The sequence below is a fragment of the Homo sapiens genome, chromosome 1, assembly GCF_000001405.40.
Source record: "Homo sapiens chromosome 1, GRCh38.p14 Primary Assembly".
In the NCBI taxonomy this organism is placed as follows: Eukaryota; Metazoa; Chordata; class Mammalia; order Primates; family Hominidae; genus Homo; species Homo sapiens.
In genome coordinates, this window is record NC_000001.11 from 183,206,003 (window position 1) to 183,229,338 (window position 23,336).

General features: G+C 44.6%; 1 protein-coding gene across 5 annotated transcripts in view, besides 2 other annotated features; it reads left to right on the forward strand.

The window, feature by feature from the left end:
• LAMC2 (laminin subunit gamma 2) overlaps window positions 1-23,336 on the forward strand; it is a 72,705-nt gene that overhangs the window by 19,739 nt on the left and 29,630 nt on the right. For all 5 annotated transcript variants that reach the window (XM_047420358.1, XM_047420361.1, NM_005562.3 and 2 more), the window contains exons 2-11: window positions 1,879-2,067; window positions 9,451-9,586; window positions 12,388-12,486; window positions 14,823-14,959; window positions 16,087-16,209; window positions 17,133-17,322; window positions 19,606-19,718; window positions 20,696-20,914; window positions 21,513-21,695; window positions 22,372-22,617. In XM_047420358.1, the coding sequence (XP_047276314.1) occupies window positions 1,879-2,067; window positions 9,451-9,586; window positions 12,388-12,486; window positions 14,823-14,959; window positions 16,087-16,209; window positions 17,133-17,322; window positions 19,606-19,718; window positions 20,696-20,914; window positions 21,513-21,695; window positions 22,372-22,617 (1,635 nt within the window). The remainder of the gene's footprint in view (window positions 1-1,878; window positions 2,068-9,450; window positions 9,587-12,387; window positions 12,487-14,822; window positions 14,960-16,086; window positions 16,210-17,132; window positions 17,323-19,605; window positions 19,719-20,695; window positions 20,915-21,512; window positions 21,696-22,371; window positions 22,618-23,336) is intronic.
• Window positions 3,697-3,826: an enhancer, noted in NCBI's record as "active region_2212". NCBI's record gives its function as "activates an Ori minimal core promoter by ATAC-STARR-seq in GM12878 lymphoblastoid cells {active_cell/tissue: GM12878}" and the evidence as "EXISTENCE:reporter gene assay evidence [ECO:0000049][PMID:35858748]".
• Window positions 22,519-22,724: a silencer, noted in NCBI's record as "fragment chr1:183197656-183197861 (GRCh37/hg19 assembly coordinates)". NCBI's record gives its function as "represses an EF-1alpha promoter that drives an FKBP-Casp9 reporter gene in an ReSE screen in K562 erythroleukemia cells {active_cell/tissue: K562}" and the evidence as "EXISTENCE:reporter gene assay evidence [ECO:0000049][PMID:32094911]".

The window sequence follows — 23,336 nt, forward strand, 5'->3', positions numbered from 1 at the left end:
CTACATGCAATGGTAAACTCAATCTTGAGAAGGAACATAAAATGGAAAGATGAGGGCTTTGGAGTCAGACACATCTGGGAGCAAATTACATCTTTGCCATTTAGCTGTGTGACTTTAGGCAAGATACCTAGCCTCTCTGAGTATTTGTTTTTCCATCTATTAAATGGGGATAATAAAACCCATGTTAAAATGTTGTGAGAATTAACTGAGCTGTCGAATGTAAAGTCCTAGAAACAGTATGCTTTGGATAAGTGTTAGCTGACTTTTCTAGATTAGATGTCATCCAAAGTAGAAAGAGTGAGTTATAGAAATTACTGTAAGGCAGTCACTTAGCAGGTCCATTAGATGTACGTGGTCACCGCTGGGCACGGTGGCTCACGCCTGTAATCCCAGCACTTTGGGAGGCCGAGGCAGGCGGATCACCTGAGGTCAGGAGTTTGAGACCAGCCTAGCCAACACTGGCGAAACCCCATCTCTACCAAAAATATAAAAATTAGCTGGGCATGGTGGTGCGCACCTATAATCCCAGCTACTTGGGAGGCTGAGGCAGGAGAATCACTTGAACCCAGGAGGCAGAGGTTTCAGTGAGCTGAGATCATGCCACTGCACTCCACACTCCAGCCTGGGCGACAGAGCAAGACTTGGTCTCAAAAAAAAAAAAAAAAAGATGTACATTGTCCCCTTGTATTGTCAGTGCCTGACACAGAGCCTGCACAGGGAGCCACTCAGCAGGTGATGGCACATCTGTTGACTTTATTGTCAGCACTATGGTTAAGTCACGCCCTAGAAACATATTCTCAATATGGCAGCATGGCCAACAGAGACAGCCTGTGTAGGGAAGGGAGGTTGGTGTTCGCATCAGGCAGAGGTTCAAATCTCAGTTCTCCACTGGGTGGAGTTACTTCACCTTTCCGAGCTGCATGTTTCTCTTCTGAGGCAGTACGTGTTTCATGGAGTGAGTGATGAAATCGCATATGCAAAGGCATTTGATATTCTTTTCCCAGAGGGATCCTCTTTACAATCCAGGGAGGCAGATAATGCAGTCTGTATGGAAGAAAAAACAAGATTCAGAAAATTGAAGTGATGTGCCCAAGGAAATAGCAGAATTGGTATTTGATTCTTTCCTTTTAACCTGAAGGCCCATCATCTCTCTCTCCGAGACCATGACGGAAACATTTTTTGGTGTCTCAGTGTGCCGGGTACTATGCTGGGTGTTTCCGTGTTTCGCTTCTTTGCTGTTCGGGTCCTTATGGAGATGTTAGTCACTTTGCGAGTCTCTTTGGAACATCTGCAGGATGGGCTTCCTAGATACTTGAGAAAGGTCATTCTTCATGGGACACTTGGCTTTGGGAGGAGACATGTGCCCAGACGGTCACGTCCACTCCTTTGCCTTGACGGGCACCGGTGGGATGGGTGTTGTGTATCTTGAGCAGCGACACCATCGGCTAATAGCTGTGCTGAGTCCGCAGCTGCCCATCCTCAGGTCTCCGTGAGCCCACACACTTGCTCTGTGGGATTGCAGTGTTTTGAAATGAACTCCTTGCAAACATTTAAATCAGAAATATCCGCATAAAAATGTAATTTAACATTTTGGGTTTCTCTCGAGGAACTGGACAGTCTGGCAACCCTGAGCCCATGTTCTCCCAGACAGCAGCCCACCAGCATTGCATAGTGCCTACTTCCTTTAAGTGGAGCAGGCGTCCCCGGGGTCCCTGCACTGCCAATTGCACTCCCATATCTTCCTCCCGCAAGGAGTGTAGGTTACCATATAGTACTCATGCATAATTTCTATCAATAATAACATAAACACCTGCTAGAACAGTTCCTGAGGTGTTTTTTTTTTTTTTTGACGATCTCTTTTGTATGCTTCCTCCCCAGTCTGTGATTGCAATGGGAAGTCCAGGCAGTGTATCTTTGATCGGGAACTTCACAGACAAACTGGTAATGGATTCCGCTGCCTCAACTGCAATGACAACACTGATGGCATTCACTGCGAGAAGTGCAAGAATGGCTTTTACCGGCACAGAGAAAGGGACCGCTGTTTGCCCTGCAATTGTAACTCCAAAGGTAGCTGAAAAGGACGGAAAGAGGGAGAGGGAGATGGAGCAGTGGGGAGACAAGAGGGAAGGAAGGAAGGAGGAAAAGAAGAAGGAAGGGAACAACGGAGGAAAAAGAAAGAAAACAGGGAAAGCAAGCAGGCCAAGAGGGAGATGTTCAACCTCACCAACAACTGGGAACCTACCAGACATTGGTCTTTTTAGCAGTTTCAATCTGAAAGGAAACATGTTTCTCTTAAGTAGGGGTTGGTGGAACCAGTTGGGACCTTGAGGGCATGTTGTCTTGAATTCTAATACAAAGAGTCACATTATTAACTTTTCCAGGCAGGTGACAGTCTTTTGCAAGCAGATGACAAAGGAAGCTTGCACTCTTTCAGGGATAGTTCTTCATATCCATAGCCATCCATTTGACCAACCTCTTGAAAAATAAGGAATTAGAAAGATCTGTTTCTAGTGCTGTGCTAGGTGCTAGCAATATGAAGTTGTACTAATAAAGGAGACAGACAAGTAAACAGGAAAATTGAAGTCTTTCATTAGGTTGCTAAAAAGATAAAACAAAATAACAAATAGGAAACACCTAATGGGGTGGCTGGTTCATAGGAGAGCTAGTTTGTTTTTTTGTTTTGTTTTGTTTTTTTGAGACAGGGTCTCACACTGTTGTCCAGACTGGAGTGCAGTGGTGCCATCTCGGCTCACTGCAACCTCCGCCTCCTAGGTTCAAGCGATTCCCCTGCCTTAGCTTCCTGAGTAGCTGGGATTACAGGCACCCACCACCACGCCCAGCTAATTTTTTGTATTTTTAGTAGAGATGGGGTTTCATTATGTTGGCCAGGCTGGTCTCGAGTGCCTGACCTCGTGATCCACTTGCCTCAGCCTCCCAAAGTGCTAAGACTACAGGTGTGAGCCACCGCGCCTGGCTAGTTGTTTTTTTTTTTTTTTTTAAAGTATCCCACACAGTGCTATATTCATATAACTGTAGGTCTTTGCTGTACACACAGATACATACACTGTGCTGTATTCATTGTGGACAGACAGTAAAGACAAGTTAGTAAATATAAAGGGGGAGAGAGAGGTGGTTCTGTAAATAAGATTTTTTTTTTAAACGGTTCATTTGTCTATTATCTTTCTGGCATTATCTACTTTTCTTTGCTAGAAAGTGTTTAACAGCATCCTGTGATAAATATTGATCCACTTAAAGCATACAGCCTTATTGCATGGCAATGACTTAGTGTAGTAGGTCTGTGGAACCAACTGATAGCTGCAGCTTGAAAGAATCTAAAAATGGGCAGATTCTGGTGCAGCCATGAGTTGCTGGTAGAGTGGTTTGGGAGTCTTATAGAAAACTGGGTGACCCTGTGGTGAGATAGGCCCATATCGCAGCAGTCACCCCCCAAATTCACCTAAGTTGCTGTCACAATGTGGTTTGACTCAGATTAGTTTAGCTTTGTTGTGTGGAATTTGCATCCAGAATCTTTTGGATTTAGCAGTCCTCCCTATGAATCAAAGAACTTCATAAAAAAATTAAAAGACAAATTATTGCATTTTAATGGGCATTTAACCTCTCTGAAGAGCTCCTATTGCCTTAGGTCATGCAGCTTCATTGTGAGTCACCAGAGTTGGGTCATCCCAGTGAAATGATCAGTGAGAATGAAACTAGAAATTTAATTGGCTCAGCTTGAAAGCCTGGCCTGAAGACAAGGTTATTAGTCTCAGGGTAGACCAGGAACCTGCTGCCTAGCACAGAAGGATGGTAAAGAAGGATTTACCATGTCATCTCTTCTGTTTCAGCATGTAGTCTACTGCTTGCCCAGTGGTAAGGGCAAGTGAAACTGGCTCCTTCTTTTTATTTGGGTAATAGATATCCCAGACTCAGTGGGAACAGCTTGGCAGGAAGTGGTGGAGCCCAGTATTGATTTATGTCTTATATGATAGTTAACATGTGCCATGTGCCAACCCTGGGCCAGGCACTTTTCTAGGTGCTTTTAATCCAGTAATTAATTAATCTTCACAAATAACTAAAGAGGGGGCTATGTTTTTTCCCATTTCACAAATGATGTAGCAGAGACTTAGGGAGGGAGGGGAAGAAACTTGTCCAAGGTCATAGAGCTAAGGGGCAGAGTAAGAGTTCAGGACCAGGTTTGTTGACATCAAAGGTAATAATGTAGAGTACAGTGGTGGGTTATGGAGCCAGGCAGCCAGGGTGCAAATCTGGACACAACCACCATCATCATTAGGTCACTCTGGGCAGGTTCCTTAACCTCTTGCTGCTCCAGCATCCCCATCTGTTAAAGAGTGTTCATGATATTCATGTCATGGGATCCTGTGGAGATAAAATGGTGTTTGACAAGCACATGGCGGGCAACTCAGTAAATTGTGAATTGATGTAGTTGTTTTTCTTATTAAGACAGTGGGGAAACTGAGACCTAGAAAAATTAATGAATGGCCTAAAGTCTTCCAGCAACTGATTGCAAGAACTAAAGTTGTAAGCCAGATCTTCTGATCAAGAATAATTCTCTTATTCCCTCCATATGAAAGAAAAAAAAATCAGAATGGCATTTTTCAATGCCCAAAAGCAGACAATTTATGTGTACACAAAAAGCTTGATGGATATTATTTCCTAAGATCTGACTAATGCTTTATAATTTTCCAAAACATTATCATAGATGATGTCCTTCTTAGTCCTCATAACAGTCTGACAACAATGTGTTAACACATCCACTGTTAAAGAGATGAAGAAACTGAACTTTCAGGGTCCAAACTGCAGAGGCTGAAAGACACATTGGTGACAGAGACTGTTCCCACCATGTGCTGTCCCCAGCTGCTCCTCAGCTGCACATGTCACCAAACCACTAGCACAAGTTTAATTCCCTATGTGATTTCTCAGTATCCCAATTAGCCAGAGGATATTTTTCACTTTCAGATAATAACTTGACAGGGAAATCTGTTGTATATTCCATTTCAAATGCAAAATAACATGTCTTACAAAAAAATGCTATCATTACATGTATGTCAAATGAAGCCAATGGCATTAATAAACCCCAGAGTAGTCACCAATTTTGGACTTTATATCGATTTCCCAAAAATGCAGAAATTAGGCTTATTTTTAGATTATGACTTTGTGGGCTCAGCAACAGGGCTGAGTTACCTTCAGCTCTTCCAACCACATATTTAAGCCCTGATAACCTTTTGCAGATACTTTGAAATTCACTGCGTGTGCAAGTTTTTTCCTCCCATGACAGCTAAGTTTTTGAGGTCTATGTGATATTGGACTTACTCTCTTAATTTTATATTTTTTTACATATCTTTGATGCTTACAGTGTATTATTCAGACTATAACATTTGAGTAATTATTTAAAACATGTTTTTAAATGCAAGTGTATATATTTTTAAAAGGGTTCTCAAAAGGATGCAAATTCTCTGTTTATATGTTTTGTTTATTTGTTTTTATTGGGTTTGTTGTTGTTGTTTTGAGACAAGATCTCACTCTGTGGCCAAGGCTGGAGTGCAGCGGCTCCATCATGGCTTACTGCAGCCTCAAACTCCTGGGCTCAAGCAGTCCTCCTGCCTCAGCCTCCTGAGTAGCTCGGACTACTGGTGTGTTCCACCATGCCTGACTAATTTTTTATTTTTTTGTGGAGACAGGGTCTATGTTGCCCAGGCTGGTCTCAAATTCCTGGGCTCAAGAAATCCTCCTGCCTCAGTCTCCCCTAACTGCTGGTATTACAAGCATGAGCCACCATGCTCGGCCCTAAATTTTAAATATTTATCATTTTTTAATACCTTCCTGAGTCTTCAAATGCATGTAGGCTATATCTATATAAAGCATGAATGTGCTTACTGGGACACAAATTTGAAACAGGAAGTTATTCCTTATCTATTCTTTAAAACCAATTGTTCACAATCCCTAAGTACAGTTCATGATGTGGGAATTGGGGCAGGTTGTTTTTTTTTTGAGTGAGACTTTGAAGAACCAGTGCTATTATTTTGGAAGTTTTGGAACATGAAATAAGTCAGTCATATTCAGAGTTAGAGCCTGAATTACTTCTTCCCCCACTTTATTAAAATAATTCATTTCTGAAAAACTACTGCAGGGAGAGTTTTCTGAAGTTGAAAGTGTAATAAATTTGGATGCAGAAAAAATGTGTTTCTGATCCCCAAATCAGCATCCATTCATGTTAAAAACAACCAAATTTCATCATGAGGGACTTCTATTTAACATTACTTATCAGAGCATTATTCAAAAAGGAATTTTCCTTCCTTCTGCTGACCACTCACAGAGCAATGATCATGAAGTCTCTAAACATCAAACCAAATAGCCTCTCTTCATTCTCATCTTATTTAAAAGCTCTCTTGCCTTAGGCTCTGAAAACCTTCCTTCTCTCCTCCTCCCCTCACCCTCCTTAGACCTCTCCTCCCTGCCTTCCATTGCTCATTGTTTGATTAGACCCTGCCCTGAGACTTCTCCCTCTCCAATCATCCTCTCTTAATAGATGGGCTCTATCTCTGTCCTCACCACTTCCCCTCCTCTCTCCATCTACTTCTGGACTGATCTCACATTTACTATGGCTTCCTATTCAGCCTGAGTGTTGAGGGCTCCTAGATCTTCATCTCTAGACTCTGAGCTCCAGATGAACATTTCCACCTTTTATATGCCCCTAGAAACTCAAGTTCATATACCCAAAACTAAACTCATTATCTTCTCTTGATAATTCAACCTGAGGTCTTGGTCCTCCTCCTGTTTTCCCTGGTTTGGTAAATAGCATCACAGTCCAGCCAGGTGTGCACTCTGGGGACCTGAGTGTCATCAATGTGATCCTCTCTCCCTCATCATTCCTAACCCAAGAGTCACCTAAATCTGTTTGTTCTATATCCACAGTGGCTCTCACAATGCTTCCCTCCTTCTCTTCTCACTCAGACCCCTCTAATCCAGGCCATCATGGCATGGGAGGAGACATGCTGATCTTGCCTTCTCCAAGCCATCCTGCAGACTGCTCTAGAGTTCTCTTTCTAAGTGCAGGTCTGAACTTGTCACTGCCTGCCTAAACCTCTGAGAGTTCCTATTATGCAGAAATTGATCTGTTATTCTGCTGTGAACTTTTAATTCACTACTAAATAGCGTGAGCTAATACATATAAAGTGCCTAACTCAACATCTAAGGAGATGCTCAAAAAATGTCATTTATGCTATTATCACTGAAGGCTCCTTCAAGCCTTGCAAAGTTGATATGTAGATGTTCATAGACTCAAACTGTAAATGTGACTCATTTATTTCACATTCCACATGCTGCATAAAGTCTTCATACAGGCACAGAACCGATATCTTTATCGATTTGAATTCTACTAGTAAATTAAAAGTTCACAGAAAGATAATAAATTTAAAAAACAAACATGTAGCGACTGGTCAATGTTCCCTTGGCTTCATAGACTATGGATACTAATCATTACAGATACTTAAGATATAGGCTGGGTGCCCTGGGTCATGCCTATAATCCCAGCACTTTGGGAGGCTGAGGCTGGTGGATCATGAGGTCAGGAGTTCGAGACCAGCCTGGCCAACATGGTGAAATCCCGTCTCTACTAAAATACAAAAAATTAGCCAGGTGTGGTGGCACATGCCTGTAGTCCCAGCTACTCAGGAGACTGAGGTAGGGGAATCGCTTGAACCAGGGAGGCAGAGGTTGCAGTGAGCCAAAAAAAAAAAAAAAAAAAAAGATATACAGATCATGGCCAGGTGCGGTGGCTCATGCCTGTAATCCCAGCACTTTGGGAGGCCAAGGCAGGCAGATCACCTAAGATTGGGAGTTCGAGACCAGCCTGGCCAACATGGAGAAACCCCGTCTCTACTAAAAATACAAAACTAGCTGGGCGTGGTGGCGCATGCCTGTAATCCCAGCTACTTGGGAGGCTGAGGCAGGAGAATCGCTTGAACCCGGAAGGTGGAGGTTGCTGACCTAGGCAACAGGAGCAAAACTTCGTCTCAAAAAAAAAAAAAAATACAGATTATTTTACAATTCCACTGAATTGCAGGGGAATTATAAGGTAGCTGAGGTGTACCTAGCTAGCCTTCCACCTCATCTTTTGGCTTTCTCTCAGCTCCTTCCACAACAGCTCAGCCCTCCTCCTTGGCATATACACATTAGTTGAACAGATTTCTGGGCACCTGCCTTGTGTCAGGCACCATGCTGGGCAGTGGGAATACGGCAGGTGACATAAGGTGAGATCATCCTAAGTCAAGTAGGGCTGAGGACTGGGGAAGGGGTGGGATGGGATTTTAGATGCAGGAGTCAGAGAAGATTTCTCTAGAAAAGTAATATTTAATCAAGACCTGAGTGCTGAGAATGTGCCAACTAGGGGAAGTCTGAGGAAAGAGCATTCCAGACTGAGGGAGCAGCAAGTGCAAATACCTTGAGGGAAGCTGCTTAGCACTTTGCCTGAACCAAGAGAGCTGGGTCGCTGGAACCTAGTGAAGGAGGGTAGGAGATGAGGTAAGAGAGGTAGGGTCTTGCAGATCATGATATGAAGTTGGCATCTTATTCTGCTTAGAGTGGGGGCCACTGGAGGACCTAACTATCGAATTACATTTTTAAAGAATATCCTGGCTTCTCTGTGGAGTGTGGAGAGGCAAGGATGGAGGCAGGGAGGAGAGTGCAAGGCAGGGCCTGGGTGAGAGAAGGTGGAGCTGGAATGGGAGTGAGTGTGGAAAGGCAGGTGGTGAGACCTGGCAGCATCCCACAGTGACACATTTTGTTGCCCTGAGTTTTTCATGAACACTCAATCTGAGAGGACCCATTTACAACTAGGAGCATATCTGTAAAAAGTGGAATCATAAGACAAGTACAGTCCCCTAAGTAAGGCACACAGGGTACATCTCACTTGGGGGCGTACCACAGGGGACACTCTCTAGCACTCCTGGCAGGTGGATAGTTTTGGTTAATAGCCCTTTTTATGCTCTTAAAAATCATACCACATAAGCACTGACCCTTAAAAGATGACTTTGCCTGCCAGGGATAAGGGAGAATGCTGCTCACTTTCAGATACAAACTCTCTTCTAGGAGGCCAATGTGCTCATTCACAAATTTTCCTTGAGATCTTAAAGATTTGATGGACTTCTTTTAAAAAGCAGTGAGCAATATGCTACCTACTGTCACAATCAGAGCAGACAAAGACAAATGCTTTTATGAGTAATTTAATTCCTCTCCCTGAGGAAGACATCCTCAGCTGTCAGCACCATCCCCGGTGACACGCAGGCGATGTGAAGTGACTGTTAAAAGCAGCAGATGGTGCTTCTTACTTCGTGTTTACGGAGCACCCATAGGGTGATAGTTGCTTCCAATGCCGCATACATTAAAATATTTCTTCTTCTTCTTTCCTTTCCCCTACCTTGTGGGTTTCAGGTTCTCTTAGTGCTCGATGTGACAACTCCGGACGGTGCAGCTGTAAACCAGGTGTGACAGGAGCCAGATGCGACCGATGTCTGCCAGGCTTCCACATGCTCACGGATGCGGGGTGCACCCAAGACCAGAGACTGCTGTGAGTATTTGCATCCCACCATGGCTGTCACTAACTCAGTGATGACAATTATATAAACCTTAGCAAACACTTGTATTTACTGAGCCCCTACCCTGTGCCAAACACTGCTTTGAGAGTACATCATTTGGGCTATCTACTTTAATCCTCACAATACCCCTAAGAGGTTGGGATTATCATTATATGCATTTCAAAGATAAAAAACTTAAACCATATGAGGTTAAGTTGCCTGATGTTACCGGTGAGGCTGGACCTAATACTTAAGCTCAGAGTTTTGGGTCCAGAGCCTATGTCCTTTTCTCTGGCAATTGCTTCCCTCTAGATGAACTGGAAGGGAGGCAACAAGTCCTTCAAGTAACCTGGGACCCATTTTGGCCCCAGTGAATTTGGGTGGAACTGTTCTGCATAATCTTGATCCCCTTTAGTTTGGAATATCCTGTATCCCTGCTCGGATATTTTTTGGAAGATGAGCATGCATTAAATGTCACATAACCAATCTGCAGAGATGCAGAGCTGGCAAGTGTTGGGATGGCTTGGCAGGGGCTTGGCAGTGAAGCATTGGGCATTGGCTAGCAAGGCTCCCACAGAGGAGGCGCGTCCCATTGCCCACTTTGCTGGCTCCTTGCTGGGACAGGAGCTGCCCTCCAGCCATACTGCATTGTCCCAGTTGTCAAGGTCCCAAGTTGTCATACTCTCTTGGCATTTGTTCTGGTCCGGCCTTCCCTGACCCTTTCAGATGGTCTTCAGAGATCACCCCTGCCCCACTCCTCCTTTGTAACCCTTTTAAAACATAACCCTCTGTTAGCTCCGCCTCCCCGCCCCAATTCAGAATGAGATAAAACTTATCAAGGTCCTGCAAGGTCCTCCTCCCTCTCCACCCTCAGCCTAGGTGCCTGCTTGGTTTCTCGTCACTTTCCTCCCTGCTCCCTGCACTCCGCAGGGAAGCCACAATAGCTTTCCTTCCCTTCTTCAAAGAGCCAAGTGCATGTGGCCTTGGCACATCCTGGAGAGCTCTGCCTTCCCCGAAGCCGTGCAGCGCCTCCTGCTCCATCCCCACCCCACTATCTCCTCACAGAGGCCTTCCTGCAGCAGTCCCACCCCTCTGTGTTCTCACTCTGCTGTTTCACTCCATATCTTATTTTCTATTCATGTTTGTCCATTTCTCCCACTAAAATGTAAGCCCCCTGTGACTCTGTCTTGTTTGCTTCTGTGTCCCCATGCCTGGAGTGGGAAGAGGCACCTTGAGGATGTCCAGTGCATCTGCAGCTGGCCCTGTGCCTGCTGCCCTTGCGATCCACACACCTGACCTGGCATAGGACTCCTATGGAATGGGGACTGTTCCTATTTCTCTTAGCATCCCCGGTTCTGAGCACCCGGTAGATGCTGAATACGTGTTTGTCAGATGGTCCAGATAAGCAGTAGAGAGGGAGCTAAGAAGGAAGGAGGCCGTGAGAATTCAAAGATAAAGATTGGCAAAGAAATTCCAGCCATAAGCATTGCTAGACTTGGCATGTGACTGGATGAGGAATGTGAGGGAGAAGGAGGGGTCAAGGGTGCTCCAGGTTTGTGCAGGATTTGGGTGGGATCATAGGGCAGGCAGAGGAGGAACGGATCAGTAGAGAAGAGACAATAAACTTGGTTTTTGAGCAATGAGATAAAACACATGATTGCGTGCAAAGTGGGTGACAGAAGCAGGGATGGATGAGATAGGGAGATTGTGCCAGAATTCAGTGAAAGCTCTGATACCTTCATTGAGAAAATCTTGCCACAAACAAACAAACAAACAAACAAACAAACAAAAGTCTATTAAACCCAGCAATCCCAGCAATTCCACTCCTAGGTATACACCCAAGAGAAATGAGAAGGTAGATATCTGCACAAAAACTTGTACACACACATTCACAGCAACATTACTCATAATAGCTGAAAAGTGAAAACAGTAACCAAAAAGAATATATGTATTCTGTCACCAAAAAGAATTTATGTACTGACACATACTATGACATAGATGAACCTCAAAAGCATCATGCTAAGTGAAAGAAGCCAGTCACGAAAGACCACATATGGTATAATTCCATTGATAGGAAATGTCTAGAATAGGCAAGTCTGGAGAGACAGAAAGTAGACTGGTGGCTGCCGAGGGCTGGAGGTGGGACTGGAGGGAAGAGATGTGGCAGGGTGGGGGACACAACTGCTAAAGGGCACAGGATTTCTTTCCGGAATGATCAAAATGTTCTAAAATTAATATTGACGGTGATGGCTGTACAACTCTGAGAATCAGCTAAGAACCATTGGATTGTACATTTTAAATGGGTGAATTGCATGGCATATGAATTATATCTCAATTGAGGAATTACCAACAGAAAGAACTGAATGGAATAAAATAGCAGGTAGATGGAATTAATCATGATAAAAAGCAGACATCATTTAATTAAACAATAGGGAAACAAATGATAATTTTTTTAAAAAATGTAAACTGAGCCAAACAGTGAACCAAAGTAAACTAAACAGTTGAGTGATGAACTTGGTTTACATTCTGGCACAAACCCCTGCTCTCTTTAGGAGTGGCAGACAGTTCTCGGCCCAGCTGCTACCCACCAAGTACACTCTGAGCAGCACTGTGTAGGCAAGTGAGTCCTTAAGTGTGTGAGAGAGGTCCGCACGGGCGAGGATGGCTAGGAGAAGCCTCATCGAAGAAGGACTGCCCAGCTTCGTGATGTTTGCTCATGAGCAGTTGATTTTTATGTGCATAGTTGTGAAGCATTTGGAAGCATGTCCCTAATTTTCTTTTTCTTCTTCCCCAGAGACTCCAAGTGTGACTGTGACCCAGCTGGCATCGCAGGGCCCTGTGACGCGGGCCGCTGTGTCTGCAAGCCAGCTGTCACTGGAGAACGCTGTGATAGGTCTGTGTGAACCGTGGCCCTACAAACAGCAGAGAGAGTCCCTTGCCAACTAGCATGAGAATTAATCCTCCGAGTGTAATTATGGAAAAGGGATACTTGACAAACGTTGATGACCTTCTTCCTGCTCTCTGTCCTCAAAAACTAAGCTTTTACAACAACAACAGCAAAAACACACACACACACTGAGCACCCAAATCTCACTGGACTCCATACTCTGCTCTGGGCACCCTCTCTTTATTTTGACTTTGGGAGAGGCACAGGACCCCAGAGATTCCTCCCACCAGCTGGCTCCAAATCCCAGGTGCTCTGTATGAGGCAGTAATCAATAGTGAGATCCTGGGACACAGGCTGGTTGCAGGAAAGGCCTGGCCTAATTAAACATGCTGCGAAAATTCTTGTAAGAGGGCCTATCACAGCATATGGCCATATATAACCATCGTGTACAGAAGAGGCACTGCCCTGGGGATAGGATGGCAGTTACATGCACACACATGAATGGGCATGGGGCTGGGAGGAGGTAAGAGCCCTTTGGGCCAAGCCACACTGGAGGAGGTGGAGCAGTGAGGCACCATCCCCCCAAGCTGCCGGTGCAGGACGTGCCTTAAGTACAACTGTGCTCTGGCTTTAAACTCTTCCCTCCCAGAGGCTGTTGAGCAGAGGGCTGTGAGGCTGGCGTCAGAAGCAAAGGCTTCCTCCTCATTTCCTTAAAAGTAAGAAAGCAGTTCTTTGGCACCCTGCCAGTCACTTATACCTGCACAGAGGAAATGTCAAATACACTCCTAGCTTGTGTTTTCAGGGGTTTCTGGCTGCTGAGGTGAAGGCAGGGACATAAAGTTTAAGTGTTAAAAAGGAAGTCACTTGTTGAAAGCCTTTTTAATTTCAAAATAAAAGACAGAAATAGAATGCCACATAAAAGAAATGTTATCACCACCAATGGTAAGAAATAGACCTCTGCTAAAACTGCGTCCCAGTGACAATGCCCCCCTCCTCCCTAGAAGTGACCACTATTCTGACTTTTATGGTAATCGCTTTCTTTCTTTGCTTCATAATTTATGACCCCAGTGTGTTCCTAAACACAATCATTTAGTTTTGCCTAATTCCCTTCCTTTCCCTTCTTTTGTCTTCCCTCCCCACTCCTCCCCTCCCATCCTTCCTTGTTTTTTTAAGCTCTTTTAATCAGCAGGTTTCTTCTCCATAGAAACCATAATAATTCTTTTAACTCTTGCTCTTAGAGAAAAAACAAAGCTTGTTTAGTTACAACTGTTCTCTGAAGCACCTGCTCTTCACAGCTACCCTGCTTTTCTGTGATACTGTACTCAGAACATTCCCCCCAACATGTGGTGCAGTGGCTTAGACTACATGATTTGGAGACAGATGTACATGAATTTCAATCTTGCCTCAGCCATGTACCTGCTATATGTCAAGAGTTTCTTAACCTCTTGGCCTTAGTCTCCTCATCTAAGAAAATTGGAAATAGCAATTCCTCATAGGGTTGGAGGGAGGTTAAATGAGAGAACACACACAAGGTGCCTGGCACAACATAAGTGCTAAATAAATAATCATTGAAACTATCGTTATTTCACATTATTTCATGTGGAAGGATGTAGTTAACTTGAGCAGAGGACAAACAAGTCCTCCCCAGCTTCCCCTGCCTTCTTCTCTGTGACTCCAGCATCGAGGATGCCCCTGTTAGTCGTGGTTCTTATAGAAGCCACTGGAGGGATTGAGCTGGGAGCAGAGGTGGAATGCAAGCTTACACCTGGCTTTTGGAGAGTGTCTTAGCCATCCTTTTTCTTTGTCATATCCTCACCTGCCCTTTTCCCCAGTGAGCCAGAGCCCAGGTACAAGAGTCAGAGATGGGGATCAATACCTAAGTGGTCTTGGGGAGGGGGTCAATAGAGCTGAGTGGTGCTGAGGCAGGAGCCTCACCTTTCCTGGTCCCCACCTCCCAGTCTTTGTCACCATTAAACAGTAGCTCCAGGACAGGGCAGCATTGCATAGCCCTGCCCACACCCATTCTGCTCATCTGACCACCACTCAATTTCCTACCAAGGACTGGCCGACTACTCAGATGCCAGACCACCAAGACAAATGTGGCTCTGTTCTACAAAGGAACAGAAAGTGAATGTTTCTTATGCCGTCTAATTTAGGGGGGTCGTGATTGTCCATCTGGTGGTCTGGGGGTGGGGGTGATATGCAAAATCTGGTATTTCCCTCCTCTGAAAATTAATAGGGCCAAATGGAAGAGAAGGTAGAGAGGCTGACTCATTCATCATATTTTTTCTATAGAATAAAAAATAACCTATAATATCCTGATTTCTACAATGCCACTGCAGGTGTCGATCAGGTTACTATAATCTGGATGGGGGGAACCCTGAGGGCTGTACCCAGTGTTTCTGCTATGGGCATTCAGCCAGCTGCCGCAGCTCTGCAGAATACAGTGTCCATAAGATCACCTCTACCTTTCATCAAGGTAAAGCCTTCTATTTTCTAGGTTTTAGTTTTTTAATGTTGTACAGGGCTTTGTGTTTAGAGACAACCACCTCCGCATTCACAGGATGGATTCTCTTTAGAAATTCTCTTATAGTATTGAATGTACATTATTTTGTCAGGGCACTCAGGCATATCCTGATGTCTTGAAAAAGTCATAGGCTGAAAATAGTTCATTCATACTAGTGAATATAACTTAAAAGAATAACTAAAAAAGAGACTAGATTTTTATTTCCCTGAATTTTCCATCCCCATCTATTTCAAAACCACGAAGGAATCATTCATTTGGTTTGGAGAGTGTATGAGTCTTCCTGGAATTCACGTTCACTAATAATGCTGTTTTCACATATAATAAATGAGCTGATTTATGTGAAATTAGTTCCCAAGCTACAGAACACTATAAAAATATTGGAAACTGATATTATTTCAACATTAAGTCTGAGTTTCCCTTTGAAAAGACTGGACCCGGGCCAAGCGTGGTGGCTCACACCTGTAATCCCAGCACTTTGGGAGGCCGAGACAGGTGGATCACGAGGTCAGGAGATCGAGACCATCCTGGCTAACATGGTGAAACCCCGTCCCTACTAAAAATACAAAAAAATTAGCCGGGCGTAGTGGTGGGCACCTGTAGTCCCAGCTACTCGGGAGGCTGAGGCAGGAGAATGGCGTGAACCCGGGAGGCGGAGCTTGCAGTGAGCCGAGATCGCGCCACTGCACTCCAGCCTGGGTGACAGAGCGAGACTCCGTCTTAAAAAAAAAACAAATGAAAAAAAAATGAAAAGACTGGACCCTCTCACTTCATTAAGGTGAGAGCTTTTTATATAAATACAAAAAAATGCAAATTACAGGCAGAAGAAAACCTGCTATCTTATCACGAGTCAGACTCAAAGATGAGAAATCATAGCAGCTGCGGGATGGGAGCAGGTGAAGTTGAGAGCCACATAGAGAGATACATGCAGAATTTTAAGGACCATTTGCAAATGTGGAAATATTGAGAAAACCCCACTTTCTACTCACCACTAGGACTTGTCGGCAAGCAAATCTTTCTTTGTTTAACTTAATAGATGATGAGGGCTTGTCCAATGCAGACTGATTATGTTTGTGTTCCAGATGTTGATGGCTGGAAGGCTGTCCAACGAAATGGGTCTCCTGCAAAGCTCCAATGGTCACAGCGCCATCAAGATGTGTTTAGCTCAGCCCAACGACTAGACCCTGTCTATTTTGTGGCTCCTGGTATGTGAGGAATAATGTCTCCTATAGAGGCCAGCTTATAGGACTAGGAAGTCAAGATAGAGAAATTGAGTTAGAAATTGTGGAAACCATATAACTTTGGGTTCAGGGTAGCAGCATCTCCGGGTAGTGCAACCCCAGAAGAGAGATGGGGGCTAAGCCTGATTTGAGAGTCACTAAGGAATGGCCCAACAGAGCAGAATGTGGTGTCCCAGAGGTCAGACCCTGGTTGAGCTACCTCCTTTAATCAAATGGGAAGTTTCTACGTTTACCACCAAGGCAAGAAACCAAGGACTGTGGCCAAACCTATGGGTCTATTGAGAAGTAGGTGGAAAGCAAAAACAAAGCATTTCTTAAAACTTCAAATACCTGTAAGTTAAAAAAAAAAAAATCAATCAGTGGTACGTGCCTTGGTGGAAAAGCGCTGGCTAGAATTCCGATCCCAGTTCGTTTCCTTAGCTCATATGTGATTCTTGGGCAAGTTGTTCTCTTAACTTCTCTGAACTTCAGTTTTCTCTACTGTTAAATGGGAATACTAATGTCTGCCTCCCAGAATTATTGCCAGCAAATGTGATGATATTTGTGAAGGCATTCTGTCAACTAAAGCATTATGTAACAAGTTGTGCTATGCTGATAGGCCTGGGATTTTTACAAAACAGTCTGTCATAAGGGCCACATCATGAATCACCTAATAGATGGAATTGTCTTATAACAAGGCCCTCTTATCATTTCAGTAACTAACCCTCCTTCATAGCCCAAAGTGTCATAGCCATGTCCAGTACCAGGTCCTGACTCTCCTAGCAAGGAGTTTTGGGGCAGCATGACACAGGACTTCAACAGAAATTGCCGACACCAGTGCAAACTTGCATGTGTTTGCCTCTCCAGTTTCACAACTGATCTCAATCTTTTAAAACTCTGTTTCACAGCCAAATTTCTTGGGAATCAACAGGTGAGCTATGGTCAAAGCCTGTCCTTTGACTACCGTGTGGACAGAGGAGGCAGACACCCATCTGCCCATGATGTGATTCTGGAAGGTGCTGGTCTACGGATCACAGCTCCCTTGATGCCACTTGGCAAGACACTGCCTTGTGGGCTCACCAAGACTTACACATTCAGGTAAAAAGAGAGACCATAAGTAGGTCAATTAGAGCAAACTATGATTGAAGTTCAAGTTTGTTCTTTATTCATTCAATCATCATTCATTTGTTCAACAAGCCTTTCTGAGCACCTTTTACGTACCATGAAGGTTGCTATGTGCTGAGAAAGGACATGATTCCTTCCCTCAAGCAGCTGACAGGCTAATGGGAGAGAAAAATGAATAGATAATTACAGTGCAGTTTGTCAAGGGACAGAAATAGGCAAGGTGGACACAGAAGTTCTGAGCACATAAAGGAGGCATGACTGACCCACACTGGAATGATGAAGGAAAGCTTCCCAGGACCACATGACAAATGTGAAAGGCAGCCCTCTAAGGAAAGAGAAGGGAGGAAAGGTTAACAAGGCAGAGGAAATGCAATGCTTGAAGAAGGTTTGTGCATTTAGAAAATTCCAGGTGGTTGAGCACGAGTGAAGCATGAAGTCGGCGATAGGAGTGCAGTGAGAAGTGAGGTAGGAGAAAGAGGTGGGAGTGACTTTATGGATGGCTTTGTGTGTGTCTACAGGGATTGCACAGTATCCTGCAGAATAGGGATTCTGCATGGTGTTTGCAGAGAGGTTGGGGAAGGGAGCTGTGCCTACTAAGTGCTCAGTAGTGCACTGGAGGCTGGGAAATAAAGATGGAACATGGTCTTTGCCTTCCAAGAGCTCATGGTCTAGTACAATGTATAACATGTCAAAAAGCAAGCATAATACAGTAGGATAATTGCTTTAGGGGTGGTGCATGTTCATGGGGTCTTGGAAAGTGCCCGATTCTGCCTGGAGGAGTCAGGGAAACCTTCAGGAGGAGGCAATGTGTGGTCTAAGAATGGAAAGGTCCACAGGGCTTTTCCAGGGAGAAAAGTCAGAGAAGGGCAACCTTCACATGTGAATATATGTGGGGATGCAGAAAGGCATAATATAGGGGAGAACTGGCAAGCAATATTTATAGCTGGAATACAGCATGCATAAGGAAGATGGGTAGATACATTTGCAAAGGTTGGAAAAGGACCCATCATGTTGGGCCTTGTGTGTCATGTCAAGGAGCTTAGATCTTGTCCATGCTGGAAAGACGATGCAGAGCCATTGAGAGATTGTTAAGTCAAGAAGTGTGATCGTCAGGTGTGAAGGCTAGGTGCAACTACAGGCACCATATAGATGATAGTTTGGGTCGGGTCCTTAACTGGACCATCAGAACACATTCAGAGTGGCTCAACTGAGAGTGGTTAGGTGCCTAACCCAAGGCAGGGGTAATGGCAATAGGGAAAAGAAGACCCACAGAACACAAACAAAGAATTGATCAAATATCCGAGTATACGTGTTCTAATGATACACACACACACACACACACACACACACACACACAGCTCTCCTGCCTGGAATACTCGTTCCCACCTTCCAGGCTTTGTGAACTTACTCTTTGAGATTCAGCTTACATGTTCTTCCTTTGTATTAGCCTTCTCAGAATCCCAGCTAAAGTTACAGTCACTTTGTTTTTCCATGGTACTCTGTGCATGCATCTGTTATAGCATTCATGGCATTGTATTATAACTGTGTCTACCCACCTGACTCCCCTGGCTGGATGTGATCATCTCTCCCTGTTGTCTTTGTGTCCTCCAGCCTGACATAGCTTCTAGCCCAAACCAAGTGCACAGTCAACTTTTATTTAACAAATCAGTGAATGAAACGAAGGTGGGTAGGGTTGTTCCTGGATGAGTAAAAAACAAAACAAAATTTAGAAGAACAGCACAGGGGCTGGTGATATGTTACAGTGAGCCAAAATGATGCCAAATTAAAAAGTATTAAGTGTGGACAATGTAAAAGTGGAAACTGATTTTTGAAAAAAGTAAGTAAAATGTGCTCAGATAACAAATAAATGATTTTTTTTAAAAAAAATGAATAGTAGCTCTTGAGAATCAGAACTTCTGGAACGTGGAGATGTTCCTAATACTAGCTTATGGGTGGCCAAGAATAGAAAGTGGTGTCTGAGAACTTGCGATCATCATGGTTTCAGGTGATGTCACCCCTGGATCTGGACTTCCCACACTGGGATGCCCTCCATCACTTCCTCTGGGGTTTGTCCTCCCCATGGAGTGAGGAAGGTCCAAGTACATGCCTATGAAAAGGTGGCTCTCAGTCCTATGCCCCCTTCTAAGCAGGACTGGGAAGGGGCTTAGCTGTTCCCGTATCCTCAGGCATAATTTATAACAGGTAGGTATGTGGTAAGAATCGGATTTTTAAAGCTTTTGATTTTAAATTATGCAGGTTAAATGAGCATCCAAGCAATAATTGGAGCCCCCAGCTGAGTTACTTTGAGTATCGAAGGTTACTGCGGAATCTCACAGCCCTCCGCATCCGAGCTACATATGGAGAATACAGTAAGTGGCTACGAGAAATTAATTTCTTTCTTCTTAGGTGTTAGTTTAATTTGATTCAGCTCTCTAAGGTGGCGGCAGTCTCCAAACAAGTAGATAAGTTACTTGATGATCCTGACTTAGAATCACTGATTCAATCTGAATTTTTATATTCTAGAAGCTTTTTTAGAAGAAATGTTTCTCTAAAAAGATGTCAGCACCCAGCACCAATGAAGAGTAAATGATGCTGTCTTGCTAAAAGGGCCACTGAATTTTTATTAAAGATGATTAAGTGAGAAAGATAATCTACAATAAATGGACACATTTCCTTAGCTAGGAAATGGCACCTACAACACAGTCTTATTTATTCCTTGAGCAGCTTTTCCTTTTGAGATTATACTCCATGCTAGCCTGTCTGAGTCATCATGTATTCTATTAATTCCTTTTTTTTTTTTTTTTGAATTTCACATGTTGGGTCCTCCTAATCTCAACTGGAATTATTTAACAAGAGTTCCTTAAGCTTTTCTGCACTCACTCACCTAAAAAGGAAGCGTGGCTAGCATGCACCATTTCCATGTCACTGATGCAGTAAATAAAGTCGGAAGCAGAAAGGTGTAACAATGTATTGACTCTTACTGTATGCCAGATAGATTATAATATATGAATTATCTAATTTAATTTTCACAACGGACATAAGAGATAAATACCACCGTTACTTCTTGTCTATAGTTGATGAAACACAGTCATGGAGAGGCTAAGTGACTTGCCCAATTTACACAGCTAGTGAGGGTGGATTCAGAATTTAAGCCCTGGGTTTTCTGACCCCAGAGCCTGTGTGCTCAGTCACAGTGGGAGACTGCCATACCTCTCTACATGGCATGATATATGAACACCACCTGTCTTTGTTAGGGAGTTAAGAAAAATAAAATCCCAAGAGAGATCTGACTTGAGATCTTTAGACTGTACCACTTGCAACTTCTAACCTGTTCTCTCGATTGCAGGTACTGGGTACATTGACAATGTGACCCTGATTTCAGCCCGCCCTGTCTCTGGAGCCCCAGCACCCTGGGTTGAACAGTGTATATGTCCTGTTGGGTACAAGGGGCAATTCTGCCAGGATTGTGCTTCTGGCTACAAGAGAGATTCAGCGAGACTGGGGCCTTTTGGCACCTGTATTCCTTGTAACTGTCAAGGGGGAGGGGCCTGTGATCCAGACACAGGTGAGTGAAATGACACCTGGACCAGGTGGCTGGGGTGTCATGTGGAAGAGAGAGAGCTGTGTAAGAAAGACCATGGCTGAACTCACATCAGAGGTGGGAAAGGATTAAGGAGAGCAGAGCTGGAGTCAGGGAAGATGGACATGGTGCCTTATTACACTCAATCCTCTTCACTGTGGAAATGCCACAAAGTTGTGAGAAAGGTGCCAGGTTACAGGAAATGGTCGTCATGGTTCAGTGCTGGGTAGAAGAGTTGGTGTCGAGTTCCAAGAATTGTGTGGGGAGATCAAAGACAAGTCCGGGTCTAAATGAATGTGCCGACAAATGGTGTCAGGCCACAGAGAACATGGGGAACAGTGTTAAGTTATGGATAGTAAAAGAAGTGAGTGTCTACTTTGCATAGGGGAGTGAGGGTGAGATTCAGGGTCTTGGCCATGTTTAGATTTGGTTCTATGGGAGGGGTGAATGCCAGTGCTCAGGCACTTTGGGGAAGGCTTCAGAAAGGAAGGCTTTGACATTCTACACTCTGACCCATGTTGAAGGAAATGTATTGTCTGACCCTGCTCACTTCTCTGCCCCTCCACTCTTCTCCTACCCCCAGGAGATTGTTATTCAGGGGATGAGAATCCTGACATTGAGTGTGCTGACTGCCCAATTGGTTTCTACAACGATCCGCACGACCCCCGCAGCTGCAAGCCATGTCCCTGTCATAACGGGTTCAGCTGCTCAGTGATGCCGGAGACGGAGGAGGTGGTGTGCAATAACTGCCCTCCCGGGGTCACCGGTAAGGCCATGGGTCTGCTCTGCCACCTGCCTCTTCCTGTCCTGATGCCATGAATGTGTGCAAATAGCTTCCATTCCGAGGAATTCCTAGGAAATTATAATGACTTCGGGTTCACCCAAATGTGCTCACTCTAAAGATAATATCTTAAAGATAAGATATTGCAATGCCCAAGAGGTGAAGTGGATTAAGCAAGAGCAGAGTGCAATTATGGGAGAAAACACCTAAAGCTGTTTTGAGAGGTTTGTCATTAGAAGATGACATTTTCAGACCAAGCACATGGTTTGTTTCTTAATGAACTAAGATAACGAGGGAAAACTTAGTGACTTCTTAAATGTCACATCCTTCTGCTGGTCAATCTGAAAGAAGAATGGATTCTTCAGCAGCAGTTTTGGGGGTATTGCTCAAAACCTTACTACTTCTGTGGAGCTGCCTGCTTTTTCCCAGCCAGCTAGTTAAGCCTCCTAGTGGCGCTACTGTGTTCTGCAACCTGCAGTGGGCATGGAGAGAGAGGGCCAGCCCTGCCTTGCATGCCTGCTCCTGAGGGCTTTGTTCTGGGGTCCCTAGGGAAGCACATTTCTCTGGCTCTTCTAGAGGGTGACTCGCAACTTTAGGCCTCTGCGTCTGGTCTTCCTCCTGATGGATGTCGACCTAGGCTTGGTCATTTGTTCCTTCCCAGGTGCCCGCTGTGAGCTCTGTGCTGATGGCTACTTTGGGGACCCCTTTGGTGAACATGGCCCAGTGAGGCCTTGTCAGCCCTGTCAATGCAACAACAATGTGGACCCCAGTGCCTCTGGGAATTGTGACCGGCTGACAGGCAGGTGTTTGAAGTGTATCCACAACACAGCCGGCATCTACTGCGACCAGTGCAAAGCAGGCTACTTCGGGGACCCATTGGCTCCCAACCCAGCAGACAAGTGTCGAGGTAGGACTCCACCCCAGGCAGGCTGTGTCTGTGCGTGCCTGTGTACGTATGCACTTGCTTGCCATCTAAGCAGGGACAATGGCAGTTCATATCATGATGTTACTTTGATTCTCTGACCAAACTGGCCTGTGAGCACCCTGGGCCTTTCTTCCTCTGTCAAAGGCCTTAAGACAGGTTTACCCTGTAGCCAGGCTCTGGAAGACAGAGCTGGGTTAAAGCTGGGTGGGAGAAGTGAAAAAGGTCAGGTTTACATTCCTACGCGGAAAAGGATGTAACACGGGGCCACATCCTATGCCCAATCCCAAGGCAGGGAGGCAGGGAAGTGGCTGCCAAACCTGTTGTAGGAGAGTAATAAATGACTTGAGAGTAAGCCTAAGCAAACTCAAGTGGGAAGGGGAGTGGGCTGTAAAATAGTTTAAGAGACTCTCTCAGGAAGTCAGCGTAATTGATGTGTAGAAAGGTAACAGTCAACAGTTCTCCTAACAAGACAGCTTCAAAGCAGCAGCTATAGTGGAGCATTCCTGAGGCCTGCTGCAGATCAAAGCATGAATGTGCAGACTGGTCCTCTTGCCCAGCGTTTCTTTCAAATCTTTGCACATGTTATATTTTAGAGGCAAGTTCAGTTCTAGAGGAGCTGGCCTGCCCCACAGACTCACCCCTCAGTCCCAGGCTGACCTTGGTGCCCAGAACTCAGGAGTTTGTTTACCCTAACTTTGTTT